Source organism: Homo sapiens, chromosome 4, assembly GCF_000001405.40.
Source record: "Homo sapiens chromosome 4, GRCh38.p14 Primary Assembly".
Taxonomy (NCBI): domain Eukaryota; kingdom Metazoa; phylum Chordata; class Mammalia; order Primates; family Hominidae; genus Homo; species Homo sapiens.
Window position 1 is genome coordinate 150859905 of NC_000004.12, and position 17974 is coordinate 150877878.

A 17974-nucleotide genomic window follows, 5' to 3' on the forward strand; every position below is an offset into this window, starting at 1 on the left:
TTATAAAATCTTCAGAACTTATATTTTTAGAGAAAAGAAAATTTTGTTCCAATAATTCCAGTGGAATTTTTAATAGCTGCTAAAAATTGTTCACCTACTTACTGAATCACTACAGCTCTATTCTAAGCTTTATTAAATAATGACTTGAAGAGCCTTAGGGTATAAGTTTCTGTCTTATTTTAAAAATAGCTATAAAGATTTAAAATTCCAAAAAACTTAACAGCATTCAAATAAATTACTTTGTATAAGCCTCATGAAACAGAAAAGCCTTTTAAAAATGAAGAAAATCCACACGAAGGAATAAAAGACATGTATGAAACACTAAAATAAAAGGTGAACAAATGTAAGAACCAACTTACAACTTTAAACTTTTGTTTTCCCTCTCATAAGTAATGTTTTAGCATGTATTTTTAAAAGTATACTTTGACAGCAAAAAGTGGTAGGTCTAGTTTTACTCAGATAAAAAGACTCCATGATTAACTTAGCATTATCCCATCTTATAAATGAATACTAAAACTTAAGTCAGTGTGGTTCTTGGTCAAAAGTAGGCACTAGAGACCTCTCCTTAAAGCAACTATTTTCTTCAGAAAAATTTTAAGATCTGTTTAAAGCCATAAGTCACTGGACTAAAGAAACATATAGGCCGGGCGCGGTGGTTCACACCTGTAATCCCAGCATTTTGGGAGGCTGAGGCGCGTGGATCACGAGGTCAGGAGATCGAGACCATCCTGGCTAACATGGTGAAACCTCTTCTCTACTAAAAATACAAAAAATTAGCCAGGCATGGTGGCAGGCGCCTGTAGTCCCAGCTACTCAGGGAGGCTGAGGCAGAAGAATGGCGTGAACCCAGGAGGCAGAGCTTGCAGTGAGCCAAGATCGTGCCACAGGGCGACAGAGCGAGACTCCGTCTCAAAAAAAAAAAAGAAATATATAAACTAAACAAAACTATAGTCATGCATCACTTAATCATGAAGATATGTTCTGAGAAATGCATCATTAAGCAATTTCATCATGTGAACACCATAGAGTGTACTTAAGCAAACCTAGATTGTATCACCTACTATATACCTAGACTCTATGGTATAGCTTATTACTCCTAGGCTACAAACCTGTATAGCTTATTACTGTACAGAAGACTGCAGACAACTGTAACACAATATATGTATTTGTGTTATCTATTTTTTTTAATGTTTTAATTTTTGTTTTAACAAAAGACTGAGTCTCGCTCTGTGACCCAGGCTGGAGTCCAGTGGCACAATCATAGTTCACTGTTACGTTACTTCAAACTCCTGGGCTCAAGTGATCCTCCCACCTCAGCCTCCTGAGTAGCTAGAAATACAGGTGCATGCCACCATCCCAGCTAATGGTGTGTGTGTGTGTGTGTGTGTGTGTGTGTGTGTGTGTGTAGATTGAGACTCACTATGTTGCCCAGGCTGGTCTCAAATTCCTGGCCTCAAGCCATCTTTCAGACTTGGCCTCCCAAAGTGCTGGGATTAGAGGTGTGAGCCACCATTCCCAGCCCTTATATTGTGTGTACGTAAGGTTTAGAAATGTGTATCTAAACAAATATAAACATAGAAAAGGTATAGTAAAAATCCAATATAAAAGATTTAAAATGGTACCTACATAAGGCATTTACCATGAATGGAGCTTATAAAACTAGAAGTTGCCCTGGGTCAATCAGTGAGTAAGTGGTGAGTAAATGTGCAGGTCTAGTACACTACAGAAGACTTTATAAACACTGTAAATATAGGCTACACTAAATTTATTTTTAAAAACTACTTTTCTTTGTTCAATAAGAAATTAACCTCAGCTTACTGTAACATTTTAACTTTTTAAACATTTTAATTTTTAAAACTTTTTGACTCTTTTGAAATCAAATTTAGCTTAAAACACAAACACATTGTACAGTTGTAAAAAGATATTTTCTGACAGGCACAGTGGCTCACAACTGTAATCCCAGCTACTTGGGAGGCTGAGGCATGAGAATTGCTTGAACCTGGGAGGTGGAGGTTGCAGTGGGCCAAGATTACACCACTGCACTCCAGCCTGGGCAACAGAGCAAGACTCTGACTCCAAAAAAAAAAAAAAGTTAGAATGGTGATCATTAAAAAATAAGGAAACAACAGGTACTGGAGAGGATGTGGAGAAATAGGAACACTTTTACACTGTTGGTGGGACTGTAAACTAGTTCAACCATTGTGGAAGACAGTGTGGCAATTCCTCAAGGTTCTAGAACTAGAAATACCATTTGACCCAGCCATCCCATTACTGGGTATATACCCAAAGGATTATAAATCATGCTGTTATAAAGCACATGCACACGTATGTTTATTGCAGCACTATTCACAATAGCAAACACTTGCAGCCAACCCAAATGTCCAACAATGATAGACTGGATTAAGAAAATGTGGCACATGCACACCATGGAATACTATGCAGCCATAAAAAAGGATGAGTTCATGTCCTTTGTAGGGACATGGATGAAACTGGAAACCATCATTCTCAGCAAACTATCACAAGGACAGAAAACCAAACACTGCATGTTCTCACTCATAGGTGGGAATTGAACAATGAGAACACTTGGACACAGGAAAGGGAACATCACACACTGGGGCCTGTCATGGGGTGGGGGAGAGGGAAGGGTAGCATTAGGAGATATACCTAATGTAAATGACAAGTTAATGGGTGCAGCACACCAACATGGCACAGGTATACATATGTAACAAACCTGCACGTTGTGTACATGTACCCTAGAACTTAAAGTATAATTTAAAAAAAAAAAAAAAAGTCCAGGTGCAGTCACGCACGCCTGTAATCCTAACACTTTAGGAGGTGGAGGTGGGTGGATCCCCTGAGCTCCGGAATTCAAGACTAGCCTGGGCAACGTGGTGAAACCCTGTCTCTACTAAAAATACAAAAAAATTAGCTGAGTGTGGAGGTGCACACCTGTTGTCCCAGCTACTCGCCAGGCTGAGGCAGGAGAATCGCTTGAACCCAGGAGGTGGAGGTTTCAGTGAGCCAAGATTGCACCACTGCATTCCAGCCAGGGTGACAGAGCAAGACTCTGTCTCATTTAAAAAAGACACACACACACACACACACACATTCTAACCGGGTGTGTGGCTCATGCTTATAATCCCAGCACTTTCAGAGGCCCAGGCGGGGGGCCACTTGAGTCCAGGAGTTGAAGACCAGCCTGAGCAACACAGTAAGACCTCGTCTCTACAAAAAAACTAAAAAAGTAGCCAGGTGTGGTAGCACAAGTCTGTAGTCCCAGCTACTCAGGAGGTTGAGGTGAGAGGATCACTTGAGCCCAGGAGTTTGAAGTTGCAGTGAGCTATGAGCACACCACTACACTTCACCTGTCTCAAAAAATATTTTTTTTCCTTTCTCTATATCCTTATTCTAAAAGCTTTTTTCTCTTTTTAAAATTATATATTTTTCAAACTTTTTTGTTAGAAACTAAGACACAAGCCAGTCCCGGTGGCTCACCCCTGTAATCCCAGCACTTTGGGAGGCTGAGTCAGGCAGATCACCTGAGGTCAGGAGTTCGAGACCAGCCTGGCCAATATGGCGAAACACCGTCTCTACTAAAAATACAAAAATTAGCCAGTTGCAGTGGCAGGCAACTGTAATCCCAGATACTCGGGAGGCTGAGGCATAACAATCATTTGAGCCTGGGAGGCGGAGTTTACAGTGAGCCAAGATTGCGCCACTGCACTCTAGCCTGGGTGACAGGGAGACTCTTTTTCCTGAGCTTACACAGCTAATAATTACTATAAATCAGGATTCACACCCTGTCTCCAAAGTCCACATTCTTTCATTACTTACACAAACGGATTTGAAAACTGGATATAAATACTTAGTCATAAATGCTCACAAGCTCAAAACACCTGAGATATCACCTAATCCAACTCCTTTATTTTGTATATAGGGAACTCAAAAAGACTAATCTATTCATCCTAAATATCCTATTATTTTCTAAGATAGCAGTTCTCAAACTTTTTGGTCTCATGACACTTTATTTATTTATTTATTTATTTTATTTTTTGAGACAGAGTCTCGCTCTGTTGCAGGCTGGAGTGCAGTGGTACGATCTCGGCTCACTGCAACTCCACCTCCTGGGTTCAAGCGATTCTTCTGTCTCACCCTCACAAGTAGCTGGGACTACAGGCACTCACCACCACGCCCAGCTAATTTTTGTATTTTTAGTAGAGACAGGGTTTCACCATGTTGGCCAGGATGATCTCAATCTCTTGGCCTCATGATCCACCCACCTCAACCTCCCAAAGTGCTGGGATTACAGGCGTGAGCCACCGTGCCCGGGCAACACTTTACATTCTTAAAAAGTATTAAGGTCCCCAAAGACTCTTTATCTATGTGGATTATATCTACTACTGCTTATTATATTAGGAATTAAAACTGAGACCTTTTAGAACTATTAACCCACTTAAAAATAATAAACTCAATATATAATATAAATAACATTTTTTGAAAATGATTATTTTTCAAAACCAAACAATAACAAGAAGAGTGCCATTATTTCATATTTTTGTCAATCTCTTTAAAGTTTGGCTTCATAGAAGACAACTGCATTCTCATATTTGCTTTTGCATTCAATCTGTTGCATATATTGGTTTGGCTGAAGTATATAAAGAAAATCCACCCTCATACAGCTATGCAGTAGGAAAGGAGGACTGCACAGACCCCATGAAAAGCTCTCATGGGCCCACGTTCTTTTTTTTTTTTTTTTTTTTGAGACAGAGTCTCACTCTGTCACCCAGGCTGGAGTATAGTGGTATGATCTTGGCTCAATGCAACCTCTGCCTCCTGGGTTCAGGCAATTCTCCTGCCTCAGTCTCCCAAGTACCTGGGATTACAGGCATGCACCACCGTGCCCAGCTAATTTTTGTATTTTTAGCAGAGATGGGGTTTCACCATGTTGGCCAGGCTGGTCCTGAACTCCTGACCTCAAGTGATCCAGCCGCCTCAGCCTGTGATTACATGCATGTGCCATCGTGCCTGGCCTCCCTCCCAAGGTCTTTAGGTTATACTTTTAACAACGATTGCTTTAAAGTTTATACTCCTCCAGCCATCTTTCCTAAGGACTTGAAGAAACTAAGGTGAACTGACATAGATCTGTTAGAAACGTGAAAAATCTGCTTTATACTGGGCACTTCCCTAACCTATAATCTCCCCTAGAAATCTCTGAAATCTACTCCAGATGTATATGGGGCACAAAGTCAACCCTATTTTTCTTATAATCTTTTGTAAATGGCAACATAGTATGAGAAAAAAAATCAGTCTAGATTGCAGCAGCCTACTGCAATAGAAATGAGAATATCTGGGCATCAGCACAAACTAAAGTTACAGAAAGGATGGCAAACAGTTCCTGTAATGAGCCAAATAGTAAATATTTTAGATTTTAGGGGCCATGTCGTTGATGTAACATGTATGATTATCCTTATAGTGTGAAAGTAGCCATATACAATATATAAAGGAATGGTAGTGGATACATTCTAGCACAATTTTATTTAGATCTGACACTTAGGCCATGGCTAGCTGAATTCTGTTTTAAACAAAACTGATCAACCTCAACAATACAGTGACTAAAACAAAGCCATTTTATAAAATCAGATCTCTTTTCTTATTTACAAATGGATTTTACTCCTTGTAAACCCTTGTAGAAGCATACTTTCTCTCAATGAAGAAAGAGGAGGAACAATGAATAATTTGTAGGAACTTTCAATCAATAATTAAAAGCTATTCAAATACCTAGAAACATGTAATTAGGAAAGGGCAATATATTCTTTTTTTTTTTTTTTTTTAGATGGAGTCTCACTGTCTCACCAGGCTAGAGTACAATGGCTCTATCTCTGCTCACTGCAACCTCTGCCTCCCAGGTTCAAGCAATTCTCCTGCCTCGGCCCCCCAAGTAGCTGGGATTACAGGTGCACGCCACCACGCCTGGCTAATGTTTGTATTTTTAGTAGAGATGGCGTTTCACCATGTTGGCCAGGCTAGTCTCCAACTTTTGACCTCAGGTGATCCACCCGCCTTGGCCTCCCAAAGTGCTGGGATTACAGGCGTGAGCCACCACACCTGGCCAGAAATGGCAATATATTCTACAGAATGACAAAATATCTTAGAATAATAACTTTGATAGTCAGTAAAATGTAACACTTAAAGATATAGAGAAATTATCATTCTTGGTATTTATTCCTTCTAGTCAATTTTTTATTAAATAAATAGCTATATAATTATACAGTATTCCTTCTGAGTAATGAAAAAGTTCTTAAAATTCAAAAAACATACACCGTAAATGAAACTAATAGATTTTAATGCATTAATTACTTGAAATGTAAATTTTCCTCAGAAGGTACAAACATAAAACTCCAAAAATAGTTAGATAATCCACATATTGGCAGAAGATGTTCATAAACAACATAGCTAGCAAAGGATTAAGAATGAGACTACATAAAGAACTCCCACAAAACAACAAGAAAACACAGATCAAGATTATGGTGATGTAGCATTTTAAATTCATCAAAGTGACAAATTTTTAAACTCCAGCCATACCACGTGATTAGGTGATGTGAAGCAATGAGAACTTAAACACTGCTGGTGATATGTAAACTGATACACTACTTTAGAATACTGTATTGTATTGGAATACGATACTTTGGAAAAGAATTTGCATTATCTTGTAAAGTTCAACATTTTCACCTTATAAGTCAGCAATTCTACTTCTAGGAATATATGCAGAAAATTCTTGAACAAGCACAAAATGTATACGAAAATGCTAATTAATTGGTAAATAAATAGTCATGTCATGCAATACATTACAATTGAGAAAATGAACAAAACTATATGGGTCAATGTGGATGAATCTCAAACAGTAATAAGCACAAACAGTAATTAACAAAAAAATGCATTCAGTATGCCACATTTACCTTAAGTGCAAACATAAAAAATAAAACTCTTTATTGTTTAGAGTTATATACACGTAGTAAAGGTATAGAAAAGACAAAAGACAACACCAAATAAAAGCTAGTGGTGTTGGGGGTCAGGCGAAGAAGAGGAGACAAAGCAATTATAGAGGAGTAACCCAATTTCATAAACAGTGATCCTTTTTGTATGCTTAGAGTATTTCAAAAAAGAATTTAAGCTATATATAAATAACTAAACTTACTTTGGCTTAATTTAAAAAAAAAAAAAAAAAAAAACTACATTCTTCCAAACCCAGTTTTTAGCTACCTGTAAGATTAGCACAGGGCAGACATCACCCAGAGCTTTTCTGTTTACTCATCCACCTTACGTTGCTAAAACAACTGTTCATCTTTGAATATAGTGCGCCACCTTGTGTTCAAAAGCTTTTAACTCATATAAAATTCTGAGACCCATGTTTGTAAACAGGGCTTCCTCGAAAAAAAATATTAGGTTGGTGCAAAAATAATTGCAGTTTTTGCCGCAACTACTTTTTCAGCACCCTAGTATAAATTCCTTTATGCTGTGGCAATAGATTTACCATTATAAAGATAAGTACATGTAAAAACAACATTAGAAAAAATTATTTTGATTCTAAAGAAATTACAAATGCTTTATTTCTATTGATAATCTTTTTGAGCTTTCATTTTGCTGTACTTTCAGAAGATAACTTGCCTTTTTTCCTTGATTTTAAGTATCGAAATTTTTTAAATGACTAAAATTCAAAAATTATAGATATTTAAAATGCTACAATACGCTTTCATAAAGAAACTTACCTTTGAATGAGTGATTGATAAAGTGTCTACCCATACACGCCAGCCACCCCACTCATATTTGACTGCATGGTAAAGCAGGATTCTGAATATGGCGTATACCATTTCTGTTATCTTTTGCTCATCTGAATTCTTAGGATTAAAATAGCAGAGAGAAAGCATCCATTCTTGCCACACAGAGCATTGTAGCAAGCTCCTGAAAATTATGAGAGGGTACTAAATTACTGAAGAAAAAAAAATTATCTAAAATAAATCTAAAGGTTTAAAACAAAATAACCCTGCCCCTCCCTTTCCCCCCGAAAAAGAAACACATTTAGTTATACATTAAGAACAATTCGACAATGTGGTACTAAAAATTCTAACTTAACTATGTGGTACATTATTTACATACTCTTAATAAAAAAAATAGAAAAATCATTTCACAGTATTTTTAAAGCAATTTTTCTTAGATAAAATGGGCTTATACAAAAGTACATTTGAATACTGCAAATAAATGCTTTCTGATTCAGCTTACCTCCTGTTTTCTCTACTGTTATTAAAAAGTTTAATCATGTCAGAAAGAAAGGCTCTGCGAACCTCCATGCTCTCTGGGCACTGGGGAGAATTTCGAAGTAGGGTCGCAATTACTTTTAGTATCTCTGTAAGACAGTTTATAAATAAGTAAAAACCAAACTCAACAAAAAACTCATGATAGAAGGTCATCCATCTATTGCAATTTCTTTAGTTTCCCTAACACAAATGTCTACCAAAAACATCCTCTTCTGTTATTAAAAAAAATCACCTCTGGAAAGAAATGACAATACATTCATTAGAAAGCATTTATAAATATGAAAGGAAATTTCTTTCATGATTCAAATGTGCAAAAATAAAGCTGAACTTTAAAAGGTTAAAATAAAACAAGTTAAATTATAAATGAATTAAATGTCAGTGAAACTGCTTACTCTCTCTGAGATATACCAAATAGTAAAGTTGATCTTAAAAACAAGCAGGCCGGGCGAGGTGGCTCACGCCTGTAATTCCAACATTTTGGGAAGCTGAGGTGGGTGGATCACTTGAGGTCAGGAGTTCGAGAGCGGCCTGGCCAACATGGCAAAACCCCATCTCTACTAAAAATATAAAAATTAGCCAGGTGTGGTGGCGTGTGCCTGTAATCCCAGCTACTCAGGAGGGTGAGACAGGTGAATCGCTTGAACCCAGGAGGCAGAGGCTGCAGTGAGCCAAGATCGTGCCACTGCACCCCAGCCTAAGCGACACAGCAAGACTCTGTCTCAAAAAAAAATAATGAAATAAAATAAAAAATACTATAATCAAAATCTCAGAAAAATATAATAAATTCTTAGATTCCTCATCATAATTTATGGTATGCACACACAGTCTTTCATAGCTGGGATTATAGGCACCTGCCACCACGCCTAGCTAATTTTTGTATTTTTAGTAGAGACAGCGTTTCTCCGTCTTGGTCAGGGTGGTCTTGAACTCCTGACCTCGTGATCCACCTGCCTTGGCGTCCCAAAGTGCTGGGATTACAGGCATGAGCCACCACGGCCGGCCTACCATAGAGAATTTTTAAAGGTGTGAAGATTTTCTTTCATAATCTTAAAAGTAAAATTAGACACAAAAAACCCAAAGGAAATTAAAACCTATTCAACATCCCATCTCCCCAGAAAATGCAAACTAAACTACTATTGTAATGGTCTTAGCATAAAGCTATTTAAATCTCCAGAATTTAGCTTAAATTAGGCCAGGCACAGCGGCTCATGCCTGTAATCCCAGAACTTTGGGAGGCTGAGGCAGTTGGATAATTTGAGGTCAAGAGTTCAAGACCACCCTGGCCAACATGGCGAAATCCCATCTCCACAAAAAATACAAAAATTAGCCAGGCCTGGTAGCAGGCACCTGTAATCCCAGCTACCAGGGAGGCTGAGGCAGGAGAATCACTTGAACCAGGAGGCAGAGGTTACAGTGGCTGAGATCCTGGCACTCTACTCTAGTCTGGGCAACAGAGCACAAGACTCGGTCTCTAAATAAATAAATAATCTCCAGAACTTAGCTTCTTAGCTTAAATTAAAACAAAAAAAAAAATTCTTTTAAAAATATGCACTTAGACCAGGTGCAGTAGGCTCATGCCTGTAATACCAGCACTTTGGGAGGTTGAGGTGGGAAGATTGCTTGAGCCCAGGAGTTTTAGACCAGCCTGGGCAACATAGGCAAAATAATGACATCACGTTTCTCTGAAAGCTGAGGAAAATTAAACCTCAAAGCCACGTGCTTTGAAAATTAGCACTGGAGTACCAAACACACAAATACACCTAACCACATAAAATGTAATTAAATTTTAAAACTCTACAAACTAATAATTTTAATAACATGATCTTAAAAAGCAAGATGAAAAAGGTATACTTTATACAAGTGCTTAAGAATTCTAAATATCAAAAGAAAAGACTGTTTAACAAGACTATCTTCATAAACAATAAAGAAGACATATTGTTCTATTCCAAATTTGGTATTTTTATATTCACAGTAATTTAAGATAAAACTACCCCAATGGTTCTTGTAATTCTGCCTGACATCACTAAATAGCACAATCAAAATTTTGCTGAAAGTCTGAACATATATTACATCAAGACCTTAAGCAAACAATTCTTCAAAACCTTTATATAAGAATTTCCACATAACTTAAGGTTGATTCGAAGGAATACTCAATATAAAACCCAAACAAAACTAGTATAATATCATCACCCTTAATGAAACATTCATCTAACAATCTGTTTCAACAACATCAATTTTAGGTTGTTCACAGTGACTTTCTTTTTAAGTAGCAAAAGGTAGTTTTTGTTAAAGTATATAAAATACATACGAGGGTTTTGTATCTTCACTGAAGAATCAGGATCTGGATGCTGTTTATGTATCACCTGAGTACCAATCTGTTCTATAAGAATCTACAGAAGTAAAACAATGGATTACATTAGCAAATCACTGGATTAGCATCACTATTAATGAACTTTAAGTGCATCACTATTAATTAACTTTAAGTACAACACTAATCAAAATATAGTATATTTTTAGTCCAATATTGTCATGCTAAATAATATACTTCTAAAATAACTACAGCATTATTACTCTATGTTTTCTTAATTATAAAATGAGACATCAAATAGTTAATAAAATGGAGGGAACATTTAAACAGAAATAACGATACTGTTTAGAAATTCACAGATTAATTATAGATTTCTAAAAATGCAGCCACATCTCCTTATATCATTTCAAAGCTGTACATTACAAACTTAAATGGTCTGGTCAGCATGGTGGCTCATGCCTGTAATCCCAGCACTTTGGGAGGCTGAAGTGGGTAGATCGCCTGAGGTCAGGAGTTCGAGACCAGCCTAGCCAACACAGCAAAACCCGTCACTACTAAAAATACAAAAATTAGCCGGGTTAGGTGGTGTGCACCTGTAATCCCAGCTACTGGGGAGGCTGAGACAGGAGAATCACTTGAACCCGGGAGGTGGAGGTTGCAGTGAGCCAAGACTGTACCACTGCACTCCAGCCTGGGTGACAGAGTGAGACTCTGTCTCAAAAAATAAAATAAAAATAAATGATCTTATTTACCTACACAATGTTAAGAGGCATTTTTATAATAAGAAATTTAGAGGAGTAAATCCTAAGTACATTCCTACCTCAAACAGCACATTATATGTGGTCATTGTGATTAAATTTGTCTGAAGCATGAGCCTTTCAGCTAGCAATGAAAACAATCCATGTCCAAGCATGACTTCTGCTTTCCTCCTGCAATTACACAAAAAGAAATCATCAAATGTAGAGCTTTTCTGTGCTCTACTTAATATGCATGCTGGATGAAGGAAACACAAAATACTTTTTCACATTACAAACAATTCCCAACTCAATTACTCTCCCAACTATCTTCAATCTAGAACTTTTAAGGCCACAAAACCTTTAAGCAGAGAAATGCTAACTATATAAGCATAGCCGAAGTTAAAAATTAAAAAAAAAAAAGACAAGTGTGCCTATGCTACAGCACAGCAAAAACCTCCTCCAAAATCTTCAGAGCAGTTATTTATTTAACGAAGTTGCTACAATCTACCAGCACTAACTTAGTCTCCCCTGGGGATGATCATCTAAAGCACAATAAATACTTAAGTAGAAAAACAATGTGGAGAAAAAGTAGAAGAAATGTAATATAATTTTTTAAAATAAATACTATGAAAACATATATACCAAAATTAACCTTCCAAGCATAAATTCAGAAACTAAAGGATCACAAACTTTAATTTTACCCTTGGGGTCAGCAAAGCTTTTCTGCAAATGGCCAGGGGGTAAATATTTTAGAATTTGTGGACCAGGTGATTTCTGTCACAACTCAACACTGTCCTTGTATCATGAAAGCAGCCACAGATGATACACAAATAAATTATTGTGGCTGTTTTCCAATAAAACTTTATTTACAGGTGGCTAACTGGATTCCTAAAGACTTCAGTTTACCAACACTTGTTCTACCCCCAAAATTTTCTTTTTAAAATAAACTACTTCTGGTACAAAGAACAAGAGGTAGAACATGAATATCTGTATTCAGCTAAGAAAATAAGCGTGGAAGTTTCAGTTTTGAGTTACGCATACAGCAGAACACACTATGTGACAAACATCCAGGTTATGTATTACTTTATAATACAGATAAAGCAAAAATGGTGTGAGTCACCTGAAATCAAGTCTCCATAGCTTCTTGAATGCAAGCTGTCCAAACTAATTCTCATAATTCACATTAAATACATGAATAATTTAAATAATTTTATGTACAAAAAAATTAATCCTGTTCACTTAATTTTTAAAATATGTACTAGTGGGATTACATTTATACAGCAATTTATGAATAAAAATAAAAGAAAAACTAGAGGACTATAGAACAAAATTACTACTGCAAAGATTTATAAAATAAATAAGTAGAATACAACAGTCCATCTTAGATTTCGGCATACTTACTTTGGGGCCAGATGTTTTAAAAAATAACCCATTGCCTTAAGAGCTTGTACCCTGATTCCTTCACTTTTCGATGCCAGAAGTTTGTAGATAACACTGAATGAATAAAAATTTAAAACAAACTATTTTGAGTATAATTTTTAAATGGAAAGGTTTAAAATATATACTTTTCATATTATTATAAATCTATTTCAAATAATATGGAAGGAAATTTAATATAGATTTCTGTATATAAAAAATCTGCTTATCTCAGGCTAGAGTTCCTTTCAATGAAAACTAAGAAATGAGAAGAAATTGGAATATAAGAAATGAGGTGACTTTTCCATGCACATACTTATATGTAACGTGTGTATCAAGCTAGCTTTCAGATACTTTTTTCCTTCTGCTACAGGCTTGTAAATGTTCTGAAGGTTACCAACTTGTTATTTTAAGTCAGTAGAAAGAAAGCATTTCTAATGGTAGCACATATTTAAATTTCTAAATAATTGTCGCCATGAAAAACAAGACAGTAGGCTAATAATAAATGATTATCAGAAATAATTACAAAAGTAAAAAGATTTACAACCAAAGAACTGCTAAAAATAAATTTCTCATTCAATTCTCAAAAATTATATAGTAATCTAATTTAATTTTTAAAGATCTATGAGGCAGCTGGATGCAGTGGCTCACGTCTGTAATCCCAGCAGTTTGGGAGGCCAAGGCAGGCAGATCACCTGAAGTCAGGAGTTCGAGACCAGCCTAGCCAACATGGTGAGACCCCATCTCTACTAAAAATACAAAAATTAGCTGGGTGTGGTGGCATGTGCCTCTAATCCAGCTTCTCGGGAGGCTGAGGCAGGAGAATCGCTTGAACCTGGGAGGTGGAGGTTGCAGGGAGCCGAGATCATGCCACTGCACTCCAGCCTGAGCAACACAGTGAGACTCTGTCTCAAAAAAAAAAACAAACAAACAAAGATCTAGGAAGGCCTTCTGATTTTAGTATAAGTAAAGTATAATGCAACTGAAATTAAACTGATTCATTACAGCATTCCCTTCCTCATAAACATTTAGAACAAGAACAGTAATTAGAAACTCTTATAATTACTTATAAAAATTAAGGATATCAGTATCCTCCTAGATCAAAATTTTGGTGTTTAGTAAGTTAGAAAACATTCTGAACAAAAAGGAAATATCTTCAACCTCTAGTGATCAATAGAAAAGCAGGTATATAAAAAAGAAGTTTGATTCCTTTTAAAACATGAACTAAAGGCATCCAGGTCCATATCACATTGTAACTGCATAATTTTAATTCAAATCTTAGTACAAAAACTTAACAGTCAATCATTAGGAAAATACTAATATGTTGTATGTTTCTTTTCTTCAAGGATTTAAATTCAGCCAAATAAAAATTAAACCTTTTAAAAGAAATATTAATATAATACCAGTTTAAAATCACAATAGTTTTTTGAGTTTTTTTCCCCAAAGATGGCAGATTTGAGGGCTTTAGCATTTCTCAGCCACTTAGAAATAGCAAGATAGTATATAAAAATCAACTGTGAGCTTTAATTCAGGAAGAAAAGCAGGACTCCACCAGAATCATGAAAGGCACCCTAGTTCCCGAGAGCACTTTGTTTCTCCCAAGACCTGGAGCTAACTGGGAAAGAGGTATGGAGATACTGTGAGGGAAAGACACCAGGAAAAGTTGCAGGGACCAACAGCAGGATGCCATTTTGAATTCAAGCACACACAATTCAAACTGGAAATCTGGCAGTGTGGCTGTGCAGGCATGCCAGAGATTAGAGTCCCTGCTTTGGAGCCAGAATTGTGAAAACTGCCTCAGCAGTAGGTGTTATAATTGTACTCTACCCCGTCGCAGGCCTGGGGTGGGAGGAAAGCTGCTACAGCTGCAATATCTCCTGGACAACAAGACTTGGCAGGCAGAGGCAGCTTGGTGACCTGGAACCAGTCTGCATGTGTCATTGCTGGGTGCTCCAGCCTGCTACCCTGACACTGTGGTGCAGCAGGGCCCTCTCTGCTCCACTCTCAGGCAGAAATCCAGACATTCAAGCCACCCCACCCTTCGTAGACACAGATCATAGCACTGGACCCTCTTTGCTCCATGCCCAGGCAGATCTCCAGGCAACTGACGCACCCACTCCCACGGACTAGCAACCTGAGCCCTATTCCACGTGGTGCAGCAAGATGCACAGGCAGATCTCCAGGCATTAAATGCACTTGCTTGCCCAGATTGGCAGCCTGAGCCACCCCACTCTTCCTTTGCAGAGATCCAGGTTCAGAGGGGTCCTCTATGCTTCATGCTCAGGGAGATCTCCAGGCATTCAGAGCAGCTGCTTGGCTACTCCAGCAGCCTGAGTCACCTCACCCCTCTGTGCAAAGATCTTGGTGCAAGGGGGAACCTCTCTGCTCCATGGCCAGGCAGATTTCCAGGCATTCAGACTACTCAGTCACCTGGAACAGCACCCTCTGCACCATTCCTATGTAGAGATCCTGGTACAGGGGGCCCTCTCTGTTTCACACCCAAGCCTATCTCCAGGGATTCAAAATAACTGCTTGCCTGGTTCAGTACCCTGAGGTGTCCCACCATTCCGGTGCAGAAATCCTGGTGTAGGAGACCCTCTCCATTTCACAGCCAGTAGATCTCCAGGAATCTGGAAAACCCATTTTTCCTGGATTAGGAGTTTAGGCCATCCCCATTCCCATGCAGAGAACTTGGGGCTGAGGTTTCCCATCACTATTTTTTGTGCCCTTCTCCAGAGCATAGAAGGGAGCTCAGACCACCATGCACTACACACATCAGCTTATTGCCTGAGGCAACAGAGAACTTCTCCCACTAAACAAGGGTCAAGTATATACCCAGCCACATTGGCCAAAGCCCACTCTTACTCATAACTGCCATCCAATGGCTTGTAGGTTGAACTGCACAGCCCAATATAAAACCTGCTGACGGAAGTGTATAAAGCTACAGAAGCAAAGCCAAAAGGCCCTACCCAGCATTCTCTATAGCCACACCCCCTATGAAGACAGGGAAAGAGAAAGAAGACAAAAAAATAATAATAACATTACAGAGAAAGAAAAAAATCTTAAAAGCATGAAAATTATTACAAAAGTTACAAGTGTCAGCATCTCCAAAGAAGGAACCACCACAAAACTTCAGACACCATGAAAAATCTGAGTGTGGTGACACCATCAAAGGATCACACTGGCTCTCCAACCATGGTCCATAACCAAAATGGAAACTCAGAAGAATTGACAAATAAATAATTCAAAGCATGGACTGCAAGGAAGCTCAATGATATCCAAGACAATGTTGAAAATTAAAAGAAACTTCTAAAGCAATCCAGGAGATGAATGGGATTAAACATCTTAAAAAGAAATCAATCAGAGATCCTGGAATTGAAAAACTCACTTAAGAAATTACAAAACAAGACTGAAAGTTTTATCAGCAGACTGGACAAACCAAAAGAAAGAATTTCAAAGCCTGAAGACCGATCTTTCAAATTTACCTGAACAAAAATTTTCAAAAACAGGTTGAAAAATGAAAAAAAGTCTTCAAGAAATATAAGACTATGCAAAGCAGCCAAACCTATAAATTACTGGCATTACTGAGAGAGATGGATAAAAAGAAAACAACCTGGAAAATATATGTGAGGAAATAATTCAAGTTGCTAGAGATATAGACATCCAAATACAAGAAATCTAGAGAACATCACAAGATACCATACAAAATGAACATCACCACAGCATATAGTCACCAGACTGCCCAAGATCAATATTAAAGAAAAAATCTTAAAGGTAGCCAGAGAAAAAGGTCAGATCACATACAAACAGAACCCCATCAGCCTAACAGCAGACTTCTTGGCAGAAACCACACAAGCCAGGAGACATTGAGGGCTTATTTTCAGTATCCTTAAAAGAAAATAAATTTAGCCAAGAAATTTCATATCCACCCAAACTAAGCTTAATAAGCAAAGGAGAAATAAATGTTTTTCAGGCAAGCAAGCATCAAGGGAATTTGTTACCTACAGACCAACCTTACAAGAGATCCTTAAGGGAGTTCTAAACACGGAAATGTAAGAACAACACTTACTACCACAAAAATACATGTACGTAGCTTGCAAACCTTATAAAACAACCACACAAAAGAAATTACAAAGCAACCAGCTAACAACTTCATGATAGGATCAAAATCTCACATATCAATATTAACTATGAGTGTAAATGGTCTAAATGCCCCCACTCAAAAGACACAGAATGGCATATTGGATAAAAAAAACAAAACTCATCCATCTACTGTCTTTAAGAGACCTATTTCAGCTGGGCGCAGTGGCTCACGCCTGTAATCCCAGCACTTTGGGAGGCCGAGGCAGGAGGATCACGAGGTCAGGAGATCGAGACCATCCTGGCTAACACAGTGAAACCCCGTCTTTACTAAAAACACACAAAAAAAAATTAGCCAACCATGGTGGCGGGCGCCTGTATTCCCAGCTACTCAGGAGGCTAAGGCAGGAGAATGGCATGAACCTGGGAGGCAGAGCTTGCAGTGAGCAGAGATCGCGCCACTGCACTCCAGCCTGAATGACAGAGCAAGACTCCGTATCAAAAAAAAAAAAAAAAAAGAGAGACCTATTTCACATATAACACCACTCATAGGCTCATAGTACAGGGTTGGGGAAAGATCTACCACACAGAGAGAACAGAGAAAAAGAGCAGGTGTCACTATTCTTATATCAGATAAAACAAACGATAAACTATCAAGAGTTAAAAAGGACAAAAAATGGCATTGCATAATGAAAAATAGTTCAATTCAACAAGAAAACTTAATTACCTTAAATATATATGCACCCAATAGTAGAGCAATCAGATATATAAAACAACGACTACGAGACGTAGGAACAGACTTAGACAGTCACACAATATTAGTGGTGGATTTCAACACCCCACTGACAGGCATTAGACATGCCATGGAGGCAGAAAACTAACAAATAAATTCTGGACATAAATTCAACACTTGACTAATTGGACCTAATAGACATCTATGGGATACTCCACCCATCAGCCACAGGATACACATTCTTCTCATCTGCACACAAAACATACTCCAAGATCAACCACATGCTTCGCCATAAAGAAAGTCTCAATAAATTCAAAAAATTGAAATCATGCCAACCATATTCTCAGACCACAGTGAAATAAAAATAGAAATCAATACCAAGATGATC

General features: G+C 37.7%; 1 protein-coding gene across 9 annotated transcripts in view, besides 1 other annotated feature; it reads right to left on the reverse strand.

Annotated features, from left to right (window-relative positions):
- LRBA (LPS responsive beige-like anchor protein) overlaps window positions 1-17974 on the reverse strand; it is a 751293-nt gene that overhangs the window by 595470 nt on the left and 137849 nt on the right. For all 9 annotated transcript variants that reach the window (XM_047416462.1, NM_001367550.1, NM_006726.5 and 6 more), the window contains exons 18-22: window positions 12759-12851; window positions 11441-11549; window positions 10621-10702; window positions 8278-8401; window positions 7767-7959 (exon numbers count right to left, since the gene is read on the reverse strand). In XM_047416462.1, coding sequence (XP_047272418.1) covers window positions 7767-7959; window positions 8278-8401; window positions 10621-10702; window positions 11441-11549; window positions 12759-12851 — 601 coding nt within the window. The remainder of the gene's footprint in view (window positions 1-7766; window positions 7960-8277; window positions 8402-10620; window positions 10703-11440; window positions 11550-12758; window positions 12852-17974) is intronic.
- Window positions 14327-14860: an enhancer, noted in NCBI's record as "H3K27ac-H3K4me1 hESC enhancer chr4:151795383-151795916 (GRCh37/hg19 assembly coordinates)". NCBI's record gives its function as "activates a minimal SCP1, AML or CMV promoter by ChIP-STARR-seq in naive H9 embryonic stem cells {active_cell/tissue: H9 hESC(naive)}" and the evidence as "EXISTENCE:reporter gene assay evidence [ECO:0000049][PMID:30033119]".